This window comes from Homo sapiens, chromosome 10, assembly GCF_000001405.40.
Source record: "Homo sapiens chromosome 10, GRCh38.p14 Primary Assembly".
Classification (NCBI taxonomy): domain Eukaryota; kingdom Metazoa; phylum Chordata; class Mammalia; order Primates; family Hominidae; genus Homo; species Homo sapiens.
In genome coordinates, this window is record NC_000010.11 from 72,596,135 (window position 1) to 72,620,843 (window position 24,709).

Consider the following 24,709-nt stretch of genomic DNA (forward strand, 5'->3'; position numbering starts at 1 on the left):
ACCACCACGCCCAGCTAATTTTTGTATTTTTAGTAGAGATGGGGTTTCACTGTGTTGGTCTCGAACTCCTGACCTCATGGTCTGCCCGCCTCAGCCTCCCAAAGTGCTGGGATTACAGGCGTGAGCCACTGTGCCCCGCTGAAACATTTTTTAATTAGCCAGGCATGGTAGTACATACCTGTAATCCCAGCTACTCAGGAGACTGAGACAGGAGGATTGCTTGAGCCCGGGAGGTCAAGGCTACAGGGACTCCTGATCATGCCACTGTGCTCCAGCCTGAGTGACAGAGAGACCCTGTCTCAAAAAAAGATTTTTTAAGTTCTAGAAATCTGCTGTAAGATGTGGCTATACTTAACACTTCTGAACCATACACTTAAAAATGATTAAGACAACAAATTTGATGTTATATGTTTATCACAATAAGAATTCAAAAACAAACAAAAATCCAACACAGGGCCAGGTACAGTGGCTCACACCTGTAATCCCCAGCACTTTGGGAGGCCGAGGTGGGTGGACCAACTTGAGGTCAGGAGTTCGGGACCACCCTGGCCAACATGGTGAAACCCTATCTCTACTAAAAATACAAAAATTAGCCAGGCATGGTGGTGGGCACCTGTAATCCCAGCTACTCGGGAGGCTGAGGCAGGAGAATTGCTTGAACCCAGGAGGCAGAGGTTGCAATGAGCCGAGATGGCGCCACTGCACTCCAGCCTGGGTGACAGAGGAAGACCCCGTCTCAAAAAAAAAAAAAAACCAACATGAAGAACAAACAACAAAAAGAGTAAACCCTGATGTAAACTATGGACTTTAGTTAATAATAATGTTTCAATATTGGCTCATCAATTTTAATAAATGTATCACACTAATGCAAGATAAAAATAGGGGAAATTGGGGGGCGAGATGAAGGCATATGTGGGAACTCTGTACTTTTTGCTCAGTTTTTTCTGTAAACCTAGAACTGCTCCCCCAAAAGTCTATTAATTTAAAAAAATTTTATTTCACACTATATGGCATTTTCCGTTTATAAACATCATTTATCCAGATTCTATCACAATGAATATACATATTTCATATTCCTTGAGGAATACTCAATTACACCCACAATTGCTCACACTATTCTCCAAAACAGTACGAAATAGGTAAAAATTCCCATAATCCTTCCTACTTGAAATCTTTCATCTGTTTCAGTATATGTCATCCCTACGTAGCTATGGTGGAGAGTCAACTGCAAAGAATGGCTACTGACATCTTGTAGCCTTTCTCAACAGGAGTTCCATGAGAGACTTAAGACATTCTTGGGCTTATGCATCTAGAACGGTACTACAGGCTGAGTATCCCTCATCTGAAATGCTTGAGATCATAAGTGTTTTGGACTTTTAGGGTTTTTTTGCATTTTGGAATATATGTAAATACATAATGAGATATCTTAGGAATAGAACATGAAATGTGTATCATTAAATTTATTGTGTTAATCATTTTTAAGTGTATGGTTCAGAAGTGTACAGTCATAAAATTTCACGTCTAAACATGAAATTCATTTATGCTTCATATATACCTTATACATATAGCCTGAAGGTTATTTTATACAACATTTTTTGTAATTTTTGCATGAAACAAAGTTTGCGTACATTGTGCACAAAAGATATATTGCAGCTGAAGGAGGCTGGATTGGTCTCCTTTCCCTTGGGGCCACTGAATAAACTGTGTGTTGTGCGCCTGTGTTATGACTGCAGCCAGTCACATGAGGTTAGGTGTGGCATTTTCCACTTGTAGCATCATGTCAGTGGTCAAAAAGTTTCAGATTTGGGAGCATTTCAGATTTCAAGTTTTTGGATTAAGGATGCTCAATCTGTAGTTATGTACCAATCTGAGGAGAAATGTGAAAATAACCACTGAAATCATTCTCTGCATTCTGTGGTTCAGACATGAAACCCCAGTTGAGAATTAGTATTAGAGATATGAAAAACTAACCAGAACTAAAAGCATTAAAAGTAGCTAATGCTATTAGTCATCACATCCCTATTTTGTGTAGAGAATAGAGGAATTAACAAAACAAAAATAATATATCTATCACTGAGGTAAGAGAGGTAGAGGAGCTACTTAAACTTCATCTTTCAAAATATATTCTTTTTTTTTTTGAGATGGGACCCTTGCCCTGTCGCCCAGGTTGGATTGCAGTGGCATGATCTCGGCTCACTGCAACCTCTGCCTCCTGGATTCAAGCAATTCCCTTGCCTCAGCCTCCCAAGTAGCTGAGACTACAGGCGCCCGCCACCACGTCTGGCTGATTTTTGTATTTTTAGTAGAAACAGGGTTTCACCATGTTGGCCAGGCTGGTCTTGAACTCCTGACCTCAAGTGATCCACCCGCCTCAGCCTTCCAAAGTGCTAGGATTACAGGTGTCAGCCACCGTGCCGGGCCTCAAAATATATTCTTAAGCTGTCTCTGCTAACCCCTACAGATTAGCTCAATCAAATATACCCATAAAAAGAGAATAACCATTAATGTTTTCCTGAGATGCATATAATCACTTACAAGAGGAAATCCTGACAATGGTTATGTGAAAAGGTCCGGATTATTTTTACTAGATCCTAAATGAAGAATAACCCCAAAAAATGAAATATTAAAATAATACTACCTTAAAATTTATTCCTAAATATTAGGGTCTGGAAAAAACTATTTCAGAGCATTCTACCAGCCCCATGAAATGTAACCCTAATCCCTCCTTTTCTTTTCTCCTTACTCCTTTTCTTCCCTTTTTCTTTTTTTTCCCATTCATATCTTAAACCTGCAAAGTCATTCCAAGGCACTTTCAGCCTCACTGATATTTCTCAAGACTAAAGAGAGCTATTAATACACCCTAAAATGTGAGTTTCCCGTTCCATCGTCCATGGTCAGATTTCTAAGTCAGGACACAAAGGAAACACCAAATGCCTTATGTTTATCCTCATCTTTATCCCCAGGCAGAGCTTCTGTCTGGCAAGCCAATGTAGGTGGTAATCTAAATGCCTCGGTTCATCTTTCCCTGGCTTGCAGCTCTCACCCTGGCCTTTGTGTTAACACAAAGCATTCCTAAACACCAAAAGAGAGAAGAGAACAATAATGTGTATAACAATGAAGTACAATGGACTTACAAGTCTTAAATTCAAATTATTAAATGCAGAATTTAAAAAGTATTAAATGCAAACATTTAAATATTAATATTTAAAATATTAAATGTGAATTCCTAGAAATAAACAATTGATAAGTTTTACATCAGGCGCTGTTCTGAGTAGCAAGATGAAACCCTGAACCATGCAACTCCATCCCACCTGGAACATGAATCATCCCTTTACCCAGCATATCCATGCTCTACACACTACACACCCCTTAGAGTCACTTAGGAGCCCTCTGGCTTATCAGATCAACTGTTCAGCATCACAGTGCTTATGTTATTTTACTTAATAAAGGCCCTAAAGCCCAAGAGTAGTGATGCTAGCAATTCAGATTTGTTAAAGAGAAACAGTAAAGCCAGCATCACCCAAAACCTGCCTCCATCCTTCCCTCCCTTCTTTCTTCCTTCCTTACTTCCTGCCTTCTTTCTTCCTTCCTTCCTCTTTCTTACTTACATTGGCAACTTCTATTATGTACCACAATACCAATGTATGAAATTCATTCTCCAAGTTTATCACCCGCCTATGCACACAAACACACACTCTCAAAGTGACAATACCCTGGTAGACTTCATTAGACTTTATTAAAGTGCTTCTTTTAAGTGGAAAGATAAAAGTTTTTGACTTCATAAGAAGAAAAGAATCATATGCCAAGGCTGCTAAGATCTACAATAAAATGAATCTTCTCCCTCTGGAATTGTGAGGAAAGAAAAAGAAAGTCATGGCCAGGCATGGTGGCTCACGCCTGTAATCCCACCACTTTGGGAGGCTGAGGCCGGTGGATCACCTGAGGTCAGGAGTTCAAGACCAGTCTGGCCAACATGGTGAAACCCCGTCTCTACCAAAAATACAAAAATTAGCGGGACATGATGGTGGGCGTCTGTAGTCCCAGCTACTCTGGGGGTTGAGGCAGGAGAACTGCTTGAATCCGGGATGGGGAGGTTGCAGTGGGCCAAGACTGTGCCATTGCACTCCAGCCTGGGTGACAAGAGTGAAACTCCATCTCAAAAAAAAAAAAAAAAAGATCTACAATAAAAATGAGTCTTCTTTCTGTGGAATTGTGAGGAAAGAAAAATTTATGGCCAGGCACAGTGCCTCACACCTGTAATCCCAGCACTTTGGGAGGCCGAGGTGAGTGGATCACCTGAGGTTGGGAGTTCGAGACCAGCCTGGCCAACATGATGAAACCCCATCTCTACTGAAAATATAAAAATTAGCTGGGCACGGTGATGCACATCTGTAATCCCAGCTACTCAGGAGGCTGAGGCAGGAGAATTGCTTGAACCCAGGAGGTGGAGGTTTCAGTGAGCCAAGATCATGCCATTGCACTCCAGCCTGGGTGACAGAGAGAGACTCCGTCTCAAAAAAAAAAAAAAAAAAGAAAAAGAAATTCATGCTAGTTTTGCTGTCACACCTTAAACTGCAAACGTTATGGCCACTATGCATGATAAGTGCTTAGTTAAAATGTGAAAAGCATTAAATTTGTGAGTAGAAGACATAAACAGAAACATGTTTCCATTGACAGCAATCAGGTTCAGTACTATCTGCTGTTTCAGGCATCCACTGAGGGTCTTAGAACATATCCCCCCGTAGATAAGGGGGAACTACTGTAAACAGCATAATTTCATCTATTCAAGTTCAAAAACACACAAAACTAAATTATGTTTGGTGATAACAGATAATGATTATTACCAAAAGTCAGGATGGTAATTTATCTCCTCAGGGGAAGAAGAAGTTGTGATCAGGAAAGGGTACACAGGGGACTTCTGGTGTGAAGAAAATGTTCTTTTTGGACCTGGATGATGGGTAGCTATAAAGTTCACTTTTATAATTATTCCTTAAGTGTACATACAGGCTGAGTGCAGTGGTTCAGACCTGTAATCCCAACATTTTGAGAGGCCAGGTTGGGTACCTTGCTTGAGCCCATGCATTCAAGACCAGCCTGGGCAAAATAAGGAGACCCTGTATCTACAAAAACTAAAAATAAATTAGCCAGGTGCAGTGGTGTGCATTTGTGGTCTCAGCTACTCAAGAGGCTGAGGTGGGACGATCACTTGAGTCCAGGAGGTCAAGGTTTCAGTGAACCATGCTTGCGCCACTACTCTCCAGCTTAAGAGTCAGAGCAAATGAGACCCTGTCTTTAAAAAAAAAAAAAAAAAAAAGGAAAGAAAAGAAAGAATTAATGAAAAAAGAAAGAAAAAAGTAAAAAGTGTATATATATGTTTGATGTAGTCTTCCCTCTGCATGTGTAGGAAAAGAAATTATCTTTTCCCCATCTATCCCAGGTTCATGGCTGAGGCCCCTACAACAAAAGACAGATTAACAACAAAAGAGCATATAAATTTATTTAATGTAATTTTTCTGTGATACAGGAGTCCTCATAAGGAAATGAGGAGCTGAAGAAACAAGAAAGCGTGTGTATTAATATGCTCAAATTTGATGAAGAGTGGACAGTTGTGGAGGAATATAATTGTATACAATATATAAAATATTTTAAATTTCTTTTTTTCTTTTTCTTTTTTTTTTTTTTTGAGGCAGAGTCTTGCTCTGTCACCCAGGGTGGAGTGCAGTAGCATGATCTCAGCTCACTGCAACCTCCGCCTCCCAGGTTCAAGCGATTCTTCTGCCTCAGCCTCCTGAGTAGATGGGACTACAGGAGAGTGCCACCATGCCTGGCTAATTTTTGTATTTTTGGTAGAGATGAGGTTTCACCATATTGGCCAGGCTGGTCTCGAACTCCTGACCTCGTGATCAACCCACCTTGGCCTCCCAAAGTGCTGGGATTACAGGCATGAGCCACCATGCCTGGAGTAATATTTTAAATTTCTTTAATGACACACCACCATACAAAAGCTGTTATTAGGATGAGTTAATCATACAACAGGCCAGGCACGGTGGCTCTCTCCCAAATCCTAGCAATTTGGGAGGCTGAGGTGGGTGGATCACTTCAGGTCAGGAGTTCAAGACCAGCCTGGCCAATATGGTGAAACCCCATCTCTACTAAAAATACAAAAATTAGCCGAGTGTGGTGGCACACGCCTGTAATCCCAGCTACTCGGGAGGCTGAGGCAGAAGAATCGCTTGAACCCAGGATGGGGAGGTTGCAGTGAGACAACATCATACCACTGTACTCCAGCCTGGGCAACAAAGCGAGATTCTGTCTCAAAAAAAAAAAAATTCATACAACCGAATAAACCTAAATGGCCTATGTAAATATCTTCATTTATGATTTGCTAATCATGTCTGTTTAGGATACAATACGCTTTGTCTGTAAAGCTTTAACCTAAGAATGTACAGGAAATAAAAGTTTTGACTAAGCCAAGCTCTTCAAAGACTGAGATTGACTCTAAGAGAAAATTTTAAAGAAATAAGGTAAATATAAAATAGTAATCAACAATAATACATTATAAATACCATTGAACATGCAGCATATCTTATGGACTTCCTTTTTTAAATAAGAGCTCTAAATCCTACTGTAATTTAGAAATAAAAATATGAAGACAGAATGAAAGAATCAATACTTAAGAATGCCACTTTGCAGCCAGGCGCGGTGGCTCACACCTGTAATCCCAGCACTTCGGGAGGCCGAGGCAGGCGGATCACGAGGTCAGGAGATTGAGACCATCCTGGCTAACATGGTGAAACACCGCCTCTGCTAAAAATACAAAAAATACAAAAAATTAGCCGGGCGTGGTGGCGGGTGCCTGTAGTCCCAGCTACTCGGAGGCTGAGGCAGGAGAATGGCGTGAACCCAGAAGTCAGAGCAAATGAGATCCTGTCTTGCAGTGAGCCGAGATCATGCCACTGACTCTGTTCCCGGCTGGGAACAGTGGCTCACGCCTGTAATCCCCAGCACTTTGGAAGGCCAAGGCGGGTGATCACCTGAGGTCAGGAGTTCGAGACCAGCCTGGTCAACATGGCAAAACCCCATCTCTACTGAAAACACAAAAATTAGCCAGGCATGGTGTTGCACACCTGTAATCCCAGCTACTCGGGAGGCTGAGACACAAGAATAGCCTGAACCTGGGAGATGGAGGTTGCAGTGAGCTGAGATCATGCCACTGCAATCCAGCCTGGGCAACAGAGCAAGACTCTGTCTCAAAAAAAAAAAAAAAATACATAAATAAATAAGTTTATTTTGCCAAAGTTAAGGATGCGGCCTGGACAATATGTGCCCAAGGTAATCAGGGTACAGCTCACTTTTATACTTTTTAGGGAGACATAATACATCAGTCAATACATGTAAGTCGCCCAGGCACAGTAGCTCACACCTATAATCCCAGCACTTTGGATGGATCACCTGAGGTCAGGAGTTCGACACCAGCCTGACCAACATAGAGAAACCCCGTCTCTACCAAAAATACAAAATTAGCCGGGTGTGGTGGCACATGCCTGTAATTCCAACTACTCGGGAGGCTGAGGCAGAAGAATCACTTGAACCTGGGAGGCAGAGGTTGTGGTGAGCTGAAATCATGCCATTGCACTCCAGTCTGGGCAACAAGAATGAAACTCTGTCTCAAAAACAAAACAAAACAAACAAACAAACAAAAAAACACCTGTAAGGTGTACACTGGTTTGATCTGGAAAGGCAGGACAACTCAAAGCAGGGGCTTCCAGGTTATAGGTAGATTTAAAATTTTTCTGATTGGCAATTGGTTGAAAGAGTTAAGTTCTGTGGCAGAAATTCAACACTCTGAGTTGATGACATGTTATAGTCTCATTTAACAGCAAATAACTAATTAGTAGTATGGGCCAATCTGTAAGGATTTTACACAAAGACACACACACACACACACATCTGCTAACGGAAGTCTCTTCCTATATACATAAAAATTCCATGGAACTTTTTTAGCATTCAAAGCAACAGACATCTTTATAGATACTCTTTTATAACAATCTCTCTATATTTATATTCTCTCTAGAAACAAACCTAGGTTCATGGCTTGATAACAATATTAGGTATTTCACAGGATACTTTCCTGCCCTTTTTTTTTTTTTTTTTTTGAGACGGAGTTTTGCTCTTATTGTCCAGGCTGCAGCGCAATGTTGTGATCTCGGCTCACTGCAACCTCCCCCTCCTGGGTTCAAGCAATTCTCCTGCCTCAGCCTTCTGAGTAGCTGGGATTACAGGTATGCACCACCATGCCCAGCTAATTTTGTATTTTTAGTAGAGATGGGGTTTCTCCACGTTGGTCAGGCTGGTCTCAAACTCCCGACCTCAGGCAATCCGCCCACCTTGGCCTCCCAAAGTGTTGGGATTACAGGCATGAGCCAGCGTGCCCGGCCTTCTGCCTTTTTTTTTTTTTAACCCTTACTCCAATTTCTAATTGCTCAAGTACTTTTTAAAAAGAATCTCCCTTTCTTACTTGAAGATGTTGTCTTAAACTTTGGGACTTAAAGCAAAATTAGAAGATCACAAATGAAAGTGCTACTGAACATATAGGTAAATATGTGTTGCTGTTGTTAGATTTTGTTTTGTTCTGTTTCAATAAGCTGAGGCTCAGAAAGTTAAGTGTATTACTCTAGGTAACCTAGCTAATCATTTCTAGATACCAGATCGTAACCAGCTTGACCTCTTATTGGCCATCAATTTTGCAGTCAATCAGAAGTGTGTTTTATTCCTGACATGGCAACTCTGTGCTTCCATAAACAGATGAAAACACTATCACAAATGACCATAATGAGAATTAAATGTAATAATACTTGTAAAATGCTGAGTACAATGCCTAACATGCAGCAAATTATGAATAAATACTTGTTTTGAGAAGTTTGGCAGGACTGGTTTCATAAGATACAGATCACAAAGACCCCGCTAATAAAACAGGGTGCAGTAAAGAAGCCAGCCAAACCCCACCAAAACCAAGATGACAACGAAAACAACCTACTGTCATCCTCACTGCTTATTATACACTAATTATAACGCATTAGCATGCTAAAAGGAACTCCCACCAGCGCCAGGACAGTTTAAGAATGCCACAACAATGTCTGGAAGTTACCCTATATGGTCAGAAATGGGGAAGAACTCTCAATTCCAGGAATTTCCCACCCAGTTCCCTAGAAAACTCATAAATAATCCACTCCATATTTAGCATATAATCAAGAAATAATCATGAATAAAGCCAGCCAGCAGCCCATGAGGGCTGCTCTGCCTATGAAGTAGTCACCCATTTATCCCCTTACTTTCTTAATAAACTTGCTCACTTTACTCTATGCTTGCTCTTGAATTCTTTCTTGGGCAAAGCCAAGAATCCACATGGCCTCCTGGGTTGAATCCCAACTGTGGGGTTTGCCCTGTGATAGTTTGAAAGGTAATATAATAGAATGCTGCTGATGGTGATAATAATTTAAATTATTTACCTAACAGTTACACTGTAGTAGATATGAGTAGTTTAGAGATGATTTAAAGTATACAGGAGGATGTGCATAGGTTATACGCAAATAGTACACAATTTTATCTAAATGACTTGAGCATCTGTGGATTTTGGTATCCGAGGGGGTCCTGGAACCAATCCTCACAGATATCATGGAACTACTGTATAATTTAAGTAATATAATTTTCACTGGCTGGGCGTGGTGACTCACGCCTATAATCCCAGAACTTTAGGAGGCCAAGGTGGGTGGATCACCTGAGGTCAGGAGTTCAAGACCAGCCTGGTCAACATGGTGAAACCCTATCTCTACTAAAAATAAAAAAATTGGCTGGGCGTGGTGGCGCATGCCTGTAGTCCCAGCTACTCAGGAGGCTGAGACAGGAGAATCACTTGAACCTGGGAGGTGGAGGTTGCAGTGAGCCAAGATTGCACCACTGCACTCCAGCCTAGACGACAGAGTGAGACTCCATCTCAAAAAAAAAAAAAAAGAAATTTCACTAAAATGTTACATAACTATGTAAACCTAAATCTCTTCCCTTCAATGCAAATATTTAATTAAAATTAAAAAGTAAGGCTGGGCACGGTGGCTCATGCCTGTAATCCCAGCACTCTGGGAGGCTGAGGTGGGTGGATCACCTGAGGTCAGGAGTTCGAGACCAGCCCGGCCAACACAGTGAAACCCCGTCTCTACTGAAAATACAAAAAAATTAGCCGGGCATGGTGGTGGACGTCTGTAATTCCAGCTACTCGGGAACTGAGGCAGGAGAATCTCTTGAACCCAGGAGGCAGAGGTTGCAGTGAGCTGAGATCCCGCCATTATACTCCAGCCTGGGCAACAAGAGCGAAATGATGTCTCAAAAAAAAAAATTTTTTTTTAAGTAAGACTTAATCATGAACTTATCTATCCTTGCTATTTGTAATACTGTGATTTATAATAAGAAATATATATATATATATGTTGGTCTTCATCCCATTTCCTGGCAGCACCTAAGAACTTTGAAACCTCTGAAGTGATGTGACTTTTTCTATCCTAATGAGATGACTGATGGTAGGGTTGGGGGCTTCTAAATAGTCCCAGAATGAGAGGGCTGGTTTCCTGTGCAACCAACCATGTGATTAGAAAGTTGGTACTTTCAGTCTGGGTGGGATTTCAGCCCTGGCCTCCAGGGAAAGGAGGGAGACTGAAGATTGAGCACATTATCCTTGCCAACGACTTAATCAATCATGCCTACATAATGAAGTCTCCATAAAAACCTAAAAGGACCATTCCAACAGCTTCCAGGCTGGTGAACTCATGAAGGCATAAGGAGCCTGGCAGGTCCTTTCCCCTATACCTTGCCCTACGCAACTCTTACATCTGGCTGTTTCTTAGTTTTATCCTTTTAAGATATGCAAGTTATAGGCCAGTCACGGTGGCTCACGCCTGTAATCCCAATAGTTTGGGAGGCCAAGGTGGGTGGCTCACAGGAGGTCAGGAGTTCAAGACCAGCCTGGCCAACATGGTGAAACCCTGTCTCTTCTAAAAATACAAAAATTAGCCGGGCGTCATGGCGCAAACCTGTAATCCCAGCTACTCGGGAGGCTGAGTCATGAGAATAGCTTGAACCCGGTAGGCGGAGGTTGGAGTGAGCCGAGATCGCACCATTACACTCCAGCCTGGGCAACAAGAGTGAAACTCTGTTTCAAAAAAAAAAAAAAGGGAGCTGGGCGCAGTGGCTCACGCCTGTAATCCCACCACTTGGGGAGGCTGAGGCAGGTGGATCATGAGGCCAGGAGATCGAGACCTTCCTGGCCAACATGGTGAAACCCTGTCTCTACTAAAATACAAAAAATTATGTGGGCATGGTGGTGCGCCTGTAGTCTCAGCTCCTCAGGAGGCTGAGGCAGGGGAATCGCTTGAACCTGGGAGGCAGAGGTTGAGGTGAGCCAAGATCGCACCATTGCACTCCAACCTGGGCAACAAGAGCGAAACTCCATCTCAAAAAAAAAAAAAAAAAAAGATAAGCAAGTTATAGTAAGTAAAGTGCCTTCTTGAGTCCTGTGAGCTGCTGTAGCAAATGACCAAACCCAAGAAGGAGGTTGTGGGAACCTCCAATTCGCAGTGAGGTTGGACAGAACTGGGTAACTTGGGAGCCTACTGCATGTGATTAGCATCTAAGGGGGAACAGTTTACTGAGACCCAACCATTAACCTGTGGGGGGGGTCTACACTAACTCTAGTTAGTACCAGAATTGAACTGAATTGTAGGACATTCAACTAGTATCAGACATTGGTTAGGGTGGGAAACAATCCACACATCTGGTGTAGGCAGTGAAGTGCTGAGTGACTGCGTGTTATGAGTGAGAGTAAAGAGAGGAAGAAAATTTTGTTTTTCTTACACAGATTGTTTTTTCCTTTATACTGTTCTAATCAAATAATTTTTTTTTTGAGACAGGGTGTCTCACTGTGTCACCCAAGCTGGAGTGCAGTGGTGTGATCTCAGCTCACTGCAACCTCAACCTCCTGGATTCAAGCGATTCTCCTGCTTCAGCCTCCTGAGTAGCTGCGATTACAGGCATGTGCCACCAAGCCCCGCTAATTTTTGTATTTTTTTTAGTAGAGACAAAGTTTTGCCATATTGGCCAGGCTGGTCTCAAACTCCTAGCCTCAAGTGATCCACCCACCTCGGCAGCCCGAAGTGCTGGGATTACAGGTGTGAGCCACCTCTCCTGGCCGAAATGCTTCTTTTTGTCTAACCTAAATACCATTTGAATCCTTTTCAAAAAATGAGGAAAGGACTTGAATAGACATTTCTCCAAAGATGTACAAATGGCCAATAAGCACATGAAAAGATGCTCAACATCATCAATCATTAGGTAAAAGCAAATTAAAACCAATTAAAACCATAATGAGGTACTATTCACACACAAAACAGAGTATCTATTATAAAAAACTAGAATATTTTCCAGAGAAAATGTGGAGAAATTGGGACCTTTGTGCATTGTTGGTGGGAATGTAAAATAATGCAGCTATTGTTAGTCGAATTAAGTTTGGCCTAAAACTGCCTCCGTACATATTTTAAGATCGGCCTAAATGTTTCTCCATACTTAACTGTAACCTAACGATGTATAAATACACCTACTCTTGTAACAAGTACCCAAGTCTCATCCAACCACAGGCACCCAACTGTTCAAACCAAGTTCAAATAAGGCAAACTCCTGGCTGTAACCAATCCAGCCATTTCTGGACCTCACTCCTGTTTTCTATCAATGTCATCTGACCATGAAGCAGCCCTAGAGTTGCTCTGAATCCATGCTGGTTCTGAGGGCTGGCCAATTTACAAATCATTCTTTGCTCAATTAAGCTCTGTTAAATTTAATTTGTGTAAAGTGTTTTAACAGTATATATACACAATGGAATATTATTCAGCCATTTAAAAGGAAGGAAATTCTGGCATATGCTACAATATGGATAGATTCAAAACAACAAATACCATATGATTCCACTTATATGAGGTACCTAAAATAGTAAAAGTTCAGAGACAGAAAGTAGACTAATGGTTATCAAGAGCTTGGAAGAGGGAAAATGGGAATTTATTGTTTAATGGGTTCAGGGTTTCTGTTTGAGAAGATGACAAAGTTCTGAAAATGAATAGTGGCAATAGCTGCATGACATGTTGAATGTACTTAATGACAATGAAGTATACATTAAAAAGTGGTCATGCCAGGCATGATGGTGCACATCTATAATCTCCACGCTTTGGGAGGCCAAGGTGGGAAGGATCACTTGAGGCCAGGAGTTTAAGACTAGCTTGAAGGCCAGGCACGGAGACTCACGCCTGCAATCTCAACACTTTGGGAGGCCGAGGCGGGCAGATCACGAGGTCAGGAGATCGAGACCATCCTGGCTAACACGGTGAAACCCCGTCTCTACTAAAAATACAAAAAATTAGCTGGGTGTGGTGGCAGGCACCTGTAGTCCCAGCTACTCGGGAGGCTGAGGCAGGAGAATGGTGTGAACCCAGAAGGCGGAGCTTGTAGTGAGCCGAGATCGCGCCACTGCACTCCAGCCTGGGCAACAGAGCCAGACCCCGTCTCAAAAAAAAAAAAAAAATGGTGGCCGGGCGTGGTGGCTCACGTCTGTAATTCCAGCACTTTGGGAGGCCTAGGTGGGTGGATCACGAGGTCAGGAGTTCAAGACCAGCCTGGCTAAGATGGTGAAACCCCATCTCTACTAAAAATACAAAAAATTAGCTGGGTGTGGTGGTGCGTGCCTGTAATCCTAGCTAGTCCGGAAGCTGAGGCAGAGAGTTGCTTAAACCTGGAGGGGCGGAGGTTGCAGTGAGCCGAGATGGCACCACTGCACTCCAAGCCTGAGCGACAGAGCGAGACTCCATCTAAAAAAAAAAAGAAAAAGAAAAAAGACCAGCTTGGGCAACACAGCAAGACCCCATCCCTACAAAAATTTTTTAAAAATTGGTTTGGCATGGTGGTACACACCTGTAGTCCCAGCTACTCAGGAAGCTGAGGCAGGGGGATCACTTGAGTCCAGGAGTTTGAGGCTACAGTGAGCTATGATCACACCACTGTACTCCAGCATAAGTGACAGAGTGACATACTCTCCAAAAAAAAAAAAAAATAGTAAAAAAGTAAATTTTATGTTATATATATTTTACGACACTTTTTTTAAAGAAAAAATATATCTAGTCCAAATTATGTGGAATATGGCAACTGATTCATCATTTATCTGAGATTTAAAATTTTAAGAGACAAAAACTGCCAAGGATGGTTAATTAGAGAGAATTTACTAAAAAGACTGTTTGCAAAGACACAAGCAGAGTTAACAAAAACGAACAAGAGATAGTAAAGCACTCTGAACATAAGAAACAGTGGGAAGACAGTAGGCCTTAGTGGGCCAGGGAAGGTAGTACTGGAATTACCAGAACTCAGTCAACTGTAGCTACAGCTTTGGGAAACAGCTGACAGAAGTTGTGTGGCCTTCAGCAGAGGAATACAACTATTACCAACTGACAAGGAGGGAGCCAGGGAAATAAACACACAGACATCACTGTCCTCCCACCTTCTGTCTTTGCCAAACCCTATTGGATAACAAAAGGAAAAGAGCTTATGGATGTAGCTTACAAAAGGCAGCCTCTTGGAGCATAAAGCTGAGTGGAGGAGGTTAGAGGGTGAATACAGAGGGGCAAATGGACACTATGTAGTACAACATGATACATTACTTTACCTTGTATTTCTATTTTACTAGCCAAAGGAAAAACTGTAATAAATATATTTATCAGTACAAAGAAAAACTTCCTGCTGCCACAAAAAAGTAGGCAAGTAACTGGATTAAAATTCTAAGATTTTTGTTGTTTAAAAAAAAACAAGGCCAGGCGCGGTGGCTCACGCCTGTAATCCCAGCACTTTGGGAGGCCGAGGCGGGCGGATCACGAGGTCAGGCGATGGAGACTATCCTGGCTAACACGGTGAAACCCCGTGTCTACTAAATACAAAAAAATTAGCCGGGCGCTGTAGCGGGCGCCTGTAGTCCCAGCTACTCGGGAGGCTGAGGCAGGAGAATGGCGGGAACCCGAGAGGCGGAGTTTGCAGTGAGCAGAGATCGCTCCACTGCACTCCAGCCTGGGAGACACAGCGAGACTCCCTTTAAAAAAAAAAAAAGAAAGAAAGAAAAAAGGCCGGGAGCAGTTGCTCACATCTGTAATCCCAGCACTTTGGGAGGCCGAGGCGGGCGGATCACCTGAGGTCAGGACTTGGAGACCAGCCTGGCCAACATGGCGAAACCCCGTCTCTACTAAAAATACAAAAATTACAAAAATTAGCTGGGTGTGGTGGTGCGTGCCTGTAATCCCAGCTACTCGAAAGGCTGAGGCAGGAGAATTGCTTGAACCCGGGCGGCAGAGATTGCAGTGACTCCATCTCAAAAAAAAGAAAAAGAAAAAACCCTAAAAAGAAAGCCCTGTGTTAAGAATTAAGATAAAAGTGAAAAGAAAGAAAGAAAAAAACCCAGTTTTGACGAGAGGTACATGGTCTGCCCCAATACTCTCAAACACTGAGAATAACAGACTAAAGGAGTAATATACTAGAATATTAGAGCTGAAAGAGACCTTAACATTTTTCAAAATTTCAGTATGAGAGGGAACAGGCCAGGGAGGTGATAAGCAACTCCATCACTGTCACAACGCTATCTGGGCACTGTGGTGTGTCCCTATAGTCTCGGCTGCTTGGGAAAATGAGGCAGATGGATCGCTTGAGGCCAAGAGTTTGAAGCTACAGTGCTACACAGTGACTGTGAATAGCCACTGCACTCCTGCCTGAGCAACACAGTGAGACCTTATCTCTTAAAAACCAACCAACCAAAAAAAAAAAAAAAAAAATCACAAAGCTAGATAATAGTGAAATTGGAAACTGAAACCAGATTTGGTAACTCCTTTCCTAATTGTCTTCCTATCAAACTACGCTACGGAAAGAAATCTGTGTATGTGCTTAATATTGGGAAAATCAACTAGTAAACAGGCTTAAAGAAATAAATAAAATCCCAGACTCATTAGGCTAAAATGTTTAATTTCTTATAGTAGAACTCCAGATTTCCCACAATAACACTAGAGTCTGCCATCTGTTTTCTTAACCAAAAAAAAAAAATGACACTTCGTGAATCTTAACACAGTACACAAAGTATTTCAGGAGCTGACCAGACTTTAATCTGAGCCTAAAGAAAACATGCAGTCGAAAAGGAAGTTATTAATGACTTAGGAGCCATTTTCCTATAGAGCATGAAATTAAAACCTCTAGGCTAAAAGAGTAATGGGAGTCATGCCAAGGCTTTGACAGTCAAATTGCTCCTTCAAAAGGTTGGAATATAGCCAGGCTTAGTGGCTCCTGCCTATAATCCCAGAGCTTTGGGTGGCTGAAGCAGGAGGATCACTTGAGGCCAGAAGTTCCTAACCACTCTGGGCAAGATAGCAAGACCCTGTCTCACAAAAAACAATTTTAAAAAATTAGCCAGGCAAGGTGGCACATGCATGTAGTCATAGCTATTCAGGCGGCTGAGGCAGGAGGACCCTTTGAGCCTAGGAGTTTGAAGCTGCAGTGAACTATGATTGCACCATTGTACTCTAGCCTGGGTGACAGAGTGAGACCCTGTCTCAAAAAAAAAAAAAAGTTGGGATGCATAGGAAGAATGCATACTCCACTGGTAAAGACAACACAAAATTCACTTCCTAAAATGCATACAAATGACATACAAAGAATAAAAAAGAGAGAGAAAAGATGCAGTATCTGTAAGACAAAATCCATAATATAAAGAAAAACTAGAAATATTAAAGATTAAAAGTAATTATTTATAAAAATAAAAGCAAGTTGTTTAAATGGCCTCTTTTTCAGAAAAAAAATTAACATCAAACCTTTATAGCTTATTTTAAAACTTTCAAACATGCAGGAAATTTCAAAGACTACTATTATCAACACCATATGTGCATTACTTAAATTCAACAATTAACATTTTGATATACTTGCTTCATCTACTTATCTATATGGCTACTCATCAAACTATTTTTTATGTTGAATCATTTCAAAGTAAATTACAGACATTATTAGGAGAAACACTTTACCCCTAATTTTTTTTTTTTTTTTTTTTTAGAGACAGGGTTTTGCTCTGTCACCCAGGCTGTAGTGCAGTGGCATGAGCATAGCACTCTGCAGCCTCAAACGCCTAGGTTTAAGTAGTCCTCCTGCCTCAGCCTCCTGAGTGGCTAGGAACTACAGGGATGTGCCACCACGCCTGGCTGATTTTTTTTTATTTTTTGTAGAGCCCAGGTCCCATTATGTTGTTCAGGCTGGTCTCCAACTCCTGGCCTCAAGCAGTCCTCCCACCTCAGCTTCCTAAAGCTCTGGGATTATGAGCATGAGCCACCACACCTGGCTATACCCCTACATATTTTAATATTCTCCTACACAACTACAATATTTTCTCCTACATAACTACATTATCAAATTTATTCAAATTAATAATTACCTAATATCTTCTAATACTAGAACACATACAAACTCCCCCAAAATTTACAGCTGATTTTTCAAACCAGGATCCCTACAAATAAGACTATCTTTGGTTTTCTCTAAACAGTCTCTCTTAATCTAGAAGAGTTCCTCATACATAACCTTTTTCTCCCCTTACAACTCTAGTTTTTGTTGTGTTACAATATACATAATAGGCTGGGTGCAGTGGCTCACACCTGTAATCCCAGCACTTTGGGAGGCTGAGGTGGGGGGATCACCTGAGGTCACGAGTTCAAGACCAGCCTGGCCAATGTGGCGAAACCCCGTCTCAATTAAAAATACAAAAAAATTAGCTGGGCGTGGTGGCGGGCGCCTGTCCCAGCTATTTAGGAGGCTGAGGCAGAAGAATTGCTTGAACCAGGAGGCAGAGGTTGCAGTGAGCTGAGATTACACCATTGCACTCCAGCCTGGGCAACAAGAACAAAACTCCATCCCCAAAAATAAAACAAAAACACATAATATAAAATGTACCCATACTCATTCAAATGGCTATTACTTAAATTTTAAAAAAAAAACAAGTGTTGACAAGGATGTGTAGAAAATGAAACCCTTGTACACTGCTGATAGGAATATAAAATAGTGCAGGCACTACAGAAAAAGTATGGCAGCTCCTCAAAAAATTAAACATAGAATTACCATATGATCCAGCAATTCCACTTCTAGGTGTATTTCCAAAGGAATTTAAAGGAGGAACCTGAATAGATATTTGTACAGCCATGCTCAAAGCAGCATTGTGCACAACAGCCAAATGGTGGAAGCAACCCAAGTGTCCACTGATGGATGAATGGATAAAATGTGACACATACATACAAGGAATATTATTCAGCCTTTATTTTTTCTTAATCATGGCAAAATTTCATCATGTCATTTCACCTTCAAAAGGAAGGAAATTCTAGCATATGCTACAACATGGATGAACCTGAAGGATACTATGCTAAGGGAAACAAGCCAATCCAAAAAAGGCAAATACTTTGTGATTTCACTTACATGAGGCACCTAGCATAGTCAAATCATAGAGACAGAAAGTAGAATGATGGATGCCAGAGGTTTCAGGGAGAGGGAAATGAGGAATGAGCATTTAATGAGTATGGGGTTTCAGTTTGGGAAGTAGTTTTGGAAATGAATGCTAGTGATGGTTGTGTAACAATGTGAATGTACTTAATGCCACTGTACATTAAAAATTATTAAAATGGTAAATATTTAAGCTGTGCTAAAATATACATAACAGAAAATTGACGATTTTGACCACTTTTAAGCATACAATTCAGTGGCATATACATTCACCATGTTGTACAATCACAGCACAACCTTAATTTCTGAAAAGGGCAAATATATTGCAGCATTTTTCATACTGCGGATTTGTCTGATTGCTTCCTTGTGGTGTGGTTTTGTGTTTGTTTGTTTGTTTGTTTGTTTGTTTTGAGATGGAGTCTCAGTCTCACTCTGTTGCCTAGGCTAGAGTGCAGTGGCATGATCTTGGCTCACCGCAACCTCTGCCTCCTGGGCTCAAGTGATACTTGTGCCTCAGCCTCCCCAGTAATTGGAATTACAGACATGTGCCACCATGCCCAGCTAATTTTTGTATTTTTACTACAGACAGGGTTTCACCACTTTGGCCAGGCTAGTCTTGAACTCCTGACCTCAAGCAATCTTCCCGCCTTGGCCTCCCAAAGTGCTGGGATTACAGGTGTGAGCAACAGCACCACAGCACACTGTGCTGTGGTATTAAATCTTTCTCTATTCCTTTTTTTTCCTGTAAACTGGAAGTTACATCTAAAGGTTAGATCACAGTCAAATTAAGTATTTTTGGCAAGAATTCTGCATAGATTATTTTCTATATTTCATGAGTCTTGTCTTAGGCTTTTTTCTCTGATGTCTAATCTGCCATTAATCCCATTAAATGTATTTTTCATCTCAGACATTATAGTTTCCATCTCCGAAAGTTCAGTTTGAGTTTTTTTATACCTTCCATGTCTCTATTTAACATGTTCAGTCTTGGCCAGGCGCGGTGGCTCATCACGCCTGTAATCCCAGCACTTTGGGAGGCCGAGGAGGGTGGATCACAAGGTCAGGAGATCGAGACCATCCTGGCTAACACAGTGAAACCCTGTCTCTACTAAAAATACAAAAAATTAGCCGGGCGTGCGGCATGCACCTGTAGTCCCAGCTACTTGGAAGGCTGAGGCAGGAGAATGGCGTGAACCCGGGAGGCGGAGCTGGCAGTGAGCCGAGATTGTGCCACTGCACTCCAGCCTGGGCGACAGAGCGAGACTCCGTCTCAAAAAAACAAAAAACAAAAAACAAAAAAAAACATGTTCAATCTTTCTACTAGTTTCTTGAGCATATAGAATATGCTTATGAAAACTGTTTTAAATCCCTCTTTACTAATTCTATCATCTGTGTCACTTCTGTTTTGGTTTCTAATTTTCTTCTCATCAGTATGAGTCACGTTTTCCTACTTCTTTGCATGCCTAGTAATTTCTGATTGGATGCCAGACATTGTGAATTTTACCTTGTGTGCTTTCTTGTATTCCTATAATTATTTTTGAGCTTTCTTCTGGGCCATGATTAAATTAGTAGGGAACAGTTTTGGCCCTTTCAGGTCTTGCTTTTAAGCTTTGTCAGCCTGGGCTGGAGAAGCATTTAGTTCAAGGCTAATTTACCCACTGTTAGGGCAAAACCCTTAAGAGACTCTACACAGAAACTCCGTCTCTACTAAAAATACAAAATTAGCCAGGCATGGTGGTGCACGCCTGTAATCCCAGCTACTTGGGAGGCTGAGGCAGGAGAATCACTTGAACCTGGGAGGCAGAGGTTGTGGTGAGCCGAGGTCACACCATTGCACTCCAGCCTGGGCAACAAGAGCGAAACTCCATCTAAAAAAAAAAAAAAAAAGACTCTACATAATGACCTATAAAGATGGTTTCCACTCTGGTTGGTGGGAAAAAAAAAAAAAAAACACACTATTCCTAATTCGGCAAGTATTGTTTTATCTGATCTTTTCAAGTGATTATCTTCCTAGCCTCAGAAAGTTTCCTCACATACATCCACTGATCAGTTCTCAGCAGAATACTTGAGACGGATCCTCTGTAGTTCTCTGAAGTTCTCCCTCTCTGCAGCTATTTCCAGTTTTCTGCCCTGCAAACTCCAGATGCTTTGGCCTCCCCAGACTCCCTCAATTAAGGGAAACTATTGTGCTCTGTCTGGGTTCCCTGTCCCTGTTCTGCAGCTGGAAAACTGTCTAGGCAGCAAGCCAGAGCAATCATAGACCTCATCTCATTTCTTTCCTATCTTTCAGGGATTACTCTCCTTTGCTGCACAATGTTCAAAATCTAGACAACCACTGTTTTACACATTTTTGTCTGCTTTTTTAGCTGTTTCAGGCAAGAAGGTAACCCTGTTACTACTTCTTCACCAGAAATAGAAGACCAGTTTTTTTTGTCCCTTTTATTCATCTCTTTCTCTGAATTATTTTAAGGCAACTCAAATATTATATCATTTCACTGCTATATATTTTGGTATGTCTCTCCAAAAATATGGACTTTTTTCCCACATAATCATGTCAGTTGTACTCAACAAATTTAACCATCCCTTAGTATGATCTAACACCAGTCCATACTCCAATTTCCTCAATTTAAAAAAAATTGAACTGATAGTTTAAACTCTTTTTAATGCTAGCATTTAATAAACACTACTCTGTGAGGGGTACTATGCTAAGTACCTGATATCCATTACCTTATTTAGTCCTCAGTAATCCTTTGGGGTAAATATTATTATTACTCCCATTTCACTGATAAGAACACCAAAGCTTGCTGGGCATGGGGGCTGACACCTGTAATGTAGAAACCCTGTCTCTACTAAAAATAAAATCCCAGAATTTTGGGAGGCCGAGGCGGCAGGGTCACTTAAGGCCAGGAGTTTGAAACCAGCCTGTGCAACATATCAAGACCATGTCTCTACAAAAAAGTTAAAAATTAGCCAAGTGTGGTGGCACACACCTATAGTCCTAGCTGCTCAGGAGGTTGAGATGGAAGGATTGCTTGAGCCCAGGAGTTTGAAGGTGCAGTAAGCTGTGGTCACACTACTGCACTCCAGCCTGGGTGACAGCACGAGACCCCAACTCAAAACAACAACAAAAAACCAGCAAAGCTAGAATCTGTTAAAATGTTTGCCTAGGCTGGCCGCAGTGGCTTACGCCTGTAATCCTTGCACTTTGGGAGGCCAAGGTGGGCAGATTACTTGAGGTCAGGAGTTAGAGACCAGCCTGGCCAACATGGTAAAACCCCATCTCTACTAAAAATATAAAAATTAGCCAGGAGTGGTGGCGCATGCCTGTAAATCCCAGCTACTAGGGAGGCTGAGGCAGGAGATTCGCTTGAGCCTGGGAGGTGGAGGCTGCAGTGAGCCGAGATCATGCCACTGCACTCCAGCCTGGTCAACAGAGCCAGACTCTGTCTCAAAAAAAAAAAAAAAAACTACCAGTTTGCCTAAGGTTATAGCATGGCAGAGGCAGGTTTCTCTGATCACAAACACATTGTTTTCTAAAAATAATTGCATACCTTTATTATTTTTTTGAAATGAGGTCTCACTATGTGGCCCAGGCTGGTCTTGAATTCCTGGGGTCAAGCAATCCTCCCACCTCAGCCTCCAGAATAGCTGACATGACAGGTGTGTGCCACTGCCCCTAGCTCCCAATGGCATTGCACTTAACCATTATGCTTCAATACCATCTCACAACTTATTAGCATAAAATATCAGATAATATCAATGCTTAAATTGAAAATCAAATTCGAAGATTGCTTAATTTAAATGCTATTACAGGTCAAAGACCTGAAAAAAATAATAATGCTACTTTATTTGAAATATATTACAATAAAATCTGCTTAAAATTTTAAGAAATACAACTTTCGAATCTAAAAGAGAATTTTAATAGAAAAAGCACAAGAAACTTGGTTGAAATGAAACTATCATCTCAAACTAGAGAATGCAGATTCATTTAATTATAATGTTCTATCACAGCTCTTGTCAAGTAGAACATGTTGTGATGACAGAAATATTTTGTATCTGTGCTGTTCAATACAATAGCCACTACCCATATGTGAGTACTGGGCATCTGAAATATGTCTAAAAAAACTAAGAGAAACTGAATTTTTTGTTTTCTTTATTTTTAATGAGCTTAAATTTAAATTGTAATTATCAGTTCATCTGTCTGTTTTCCCCACTAGGCTGTAAGGTCCTTGAAGAACAGAATGTATTTTCATCTCTCCTTTCAATGTCTTGATACATATTAGAAACCTGTTTGTTGATATGTGGTAGAATATGTGGATGGAATTTTCTAGATGTGTCCAGATAAATTCTCTAAATATATCAGACTGATAAAGGTTACAAAGTACAGACTTACTTTATTGGATTATATCTTTTTTCTATTCTGACTTTTAAAACAAATGAAATATTAGCCAGGCCCGGTGGCTCACACCTGTAATCCCAGCACTTTGGGAGGCTGAGGCAGGTGGATCACAAGGTCAGGAGATTGAGACCATCCTGGCTAACACGGTGAAACCCTGTCTCTACTAAAAATACAAAAAAATTAGCCAGGCATGGTGGCAGGCACCTGTAGTCCCAGCTACTCGGGAGGCTGAGGCAGGAGAACGGTGTGAACCCAGGAGGCGGGGTTTGCAGTGAGCCGAGATTGTGCCACTGCACTCCAGCCTGGGCAACAGGTCAAGACTCCGTCTCAAAAAACTAAATAAATAAATAAAACAGATAAAATATCTTATTTACTCATTTATTCACCAAACATGCTCTGAGCTTACATATTTGTGACAAAGACTCTGTTATGTACTCAGGATATGATGATGAATAAGACCCAGTTTCTGGCATCAAGAATCACTCAATCTAAGACAATACATACAATTGCTCCACAAAGTGAGAAGACTACTTTAAACAGATAAATTATGAGAACCAACAAGGAAAGTAAATTACGAGAACCAAGAAGGAAAATAACCACCTGAGGGTAGAGGGAGGTTCTACATACTGAACAATAATTCATTAATCTAGTTTAACGATGAACGGCAGCTCACCAGTTGGGAGATGGCAGAACGGTGGAGAGGCATTCCAGGTACAACAAATAGCCATGTAAAGGCATAAAGACACAAAAACACATGGTGAACATGGGGAGGAAAAAGTGTCTCATTCTGACTAGAACATGTGAAAACGAATAAAAAGGGGAGGAGGATACATTAGAGCTAGATTCTAATACCCTTTTGTGCTATATTACAGTGCTGATTCAATCTTATTAGGATGGTAGGCAAAGTATTCATGTTTACTTTTTTTAAAAAAAAGGAAAAAAACAGCTTGCTAATTCCCATACTCAAAGAACAAACTTTAAAAAGCAAAATCTAAATTATAAATTTTTGCTTATAACAGACACCAAATCCAAATTAACTGTCCAAGCAAGGTTATTAGAATAGGCACTTGAAGTTTTTGTTGTTTTTGAGATGGAGTCTCACTCTGTCGCCCAGGCTGGTGTACAGTAGTGCCATCTTGGCTCACTGCAACCTCCGCCTCCCGGGTTCAGGCAATTCTCATGCCTCAGCCTCCCAAGCAGCTGGGATTACAGGAGTGTGCTACCATGCCTGGCTAATTTTTTGTATTTTTAGTAGAGACAGGGTTTCACCACGTTGCCCAGGCTGGTTTCGAACTCCTGACCTCAAGTGATTCTCCTGCCTCAGCCTCCCAAAGTACTGGGATTACAGGCATGAGCCACTGCACCTGGCCAAGCACTTCAAGTTTTAAATAAGCAACATTAAATCACTTTGAAGAGAAATGCAAGCATTATTTGTATCCTTAACTGTTGAGGATATCTTTTTCAAATATTACACTAAAGTTTCAATTTTCTCATAGTAAAACCCATCTTGAACTTAATATTAGTCTAGGAAACATTTATGATCTGCAAAAAATTGATCACCCTGTTAGTTTGGGGGAAAAAAGCTGAGTCTACTTCTAGCCATTTCTTGCCTCATAAACAGAACTAAAACACCTCTCCCACGATGTGGCAATATTTAACTTTTCAACGACAGGTTATTAATTATATTTAATGTCAATCACTTCTCACAGTTGTCCAATTCCACAGCTA

General features: G+C 41.2%; 1 protein-coding gene across 22 annotated transcripts in view; it reads right to left on the reverse strand.

Moving 5' to 3' along the window:
- MICU1 (mitochondrial calcium uptake 1) overlaps positions 1 to 24,709 on the reverse strand; it is a 258,740-nt gene that overhangs the window by 228,795 nt on the left and 5,236 nt on the right. Inside the window, exon 2 of one of the 22 annotated variants that reach the window (NM_001441223.1) lies at positions 179 to 276. The exons of 18 other annotated variants lie outside the window; for them this stretch is intronic. The gene's annotated coding sequence lies outside the window, so the exon portion shown is untranslated. Of the gene's footprint in view, positions 1 to 178; positions 295 to 6,673; positions 6,808 to 24,709 lie in introns of all 22 variants that reach the window. 3 more of the 22 variants (NM_001441220.1, NM_001441222.1, NM_001441221.1) reach the window with 3 other exon arrangements.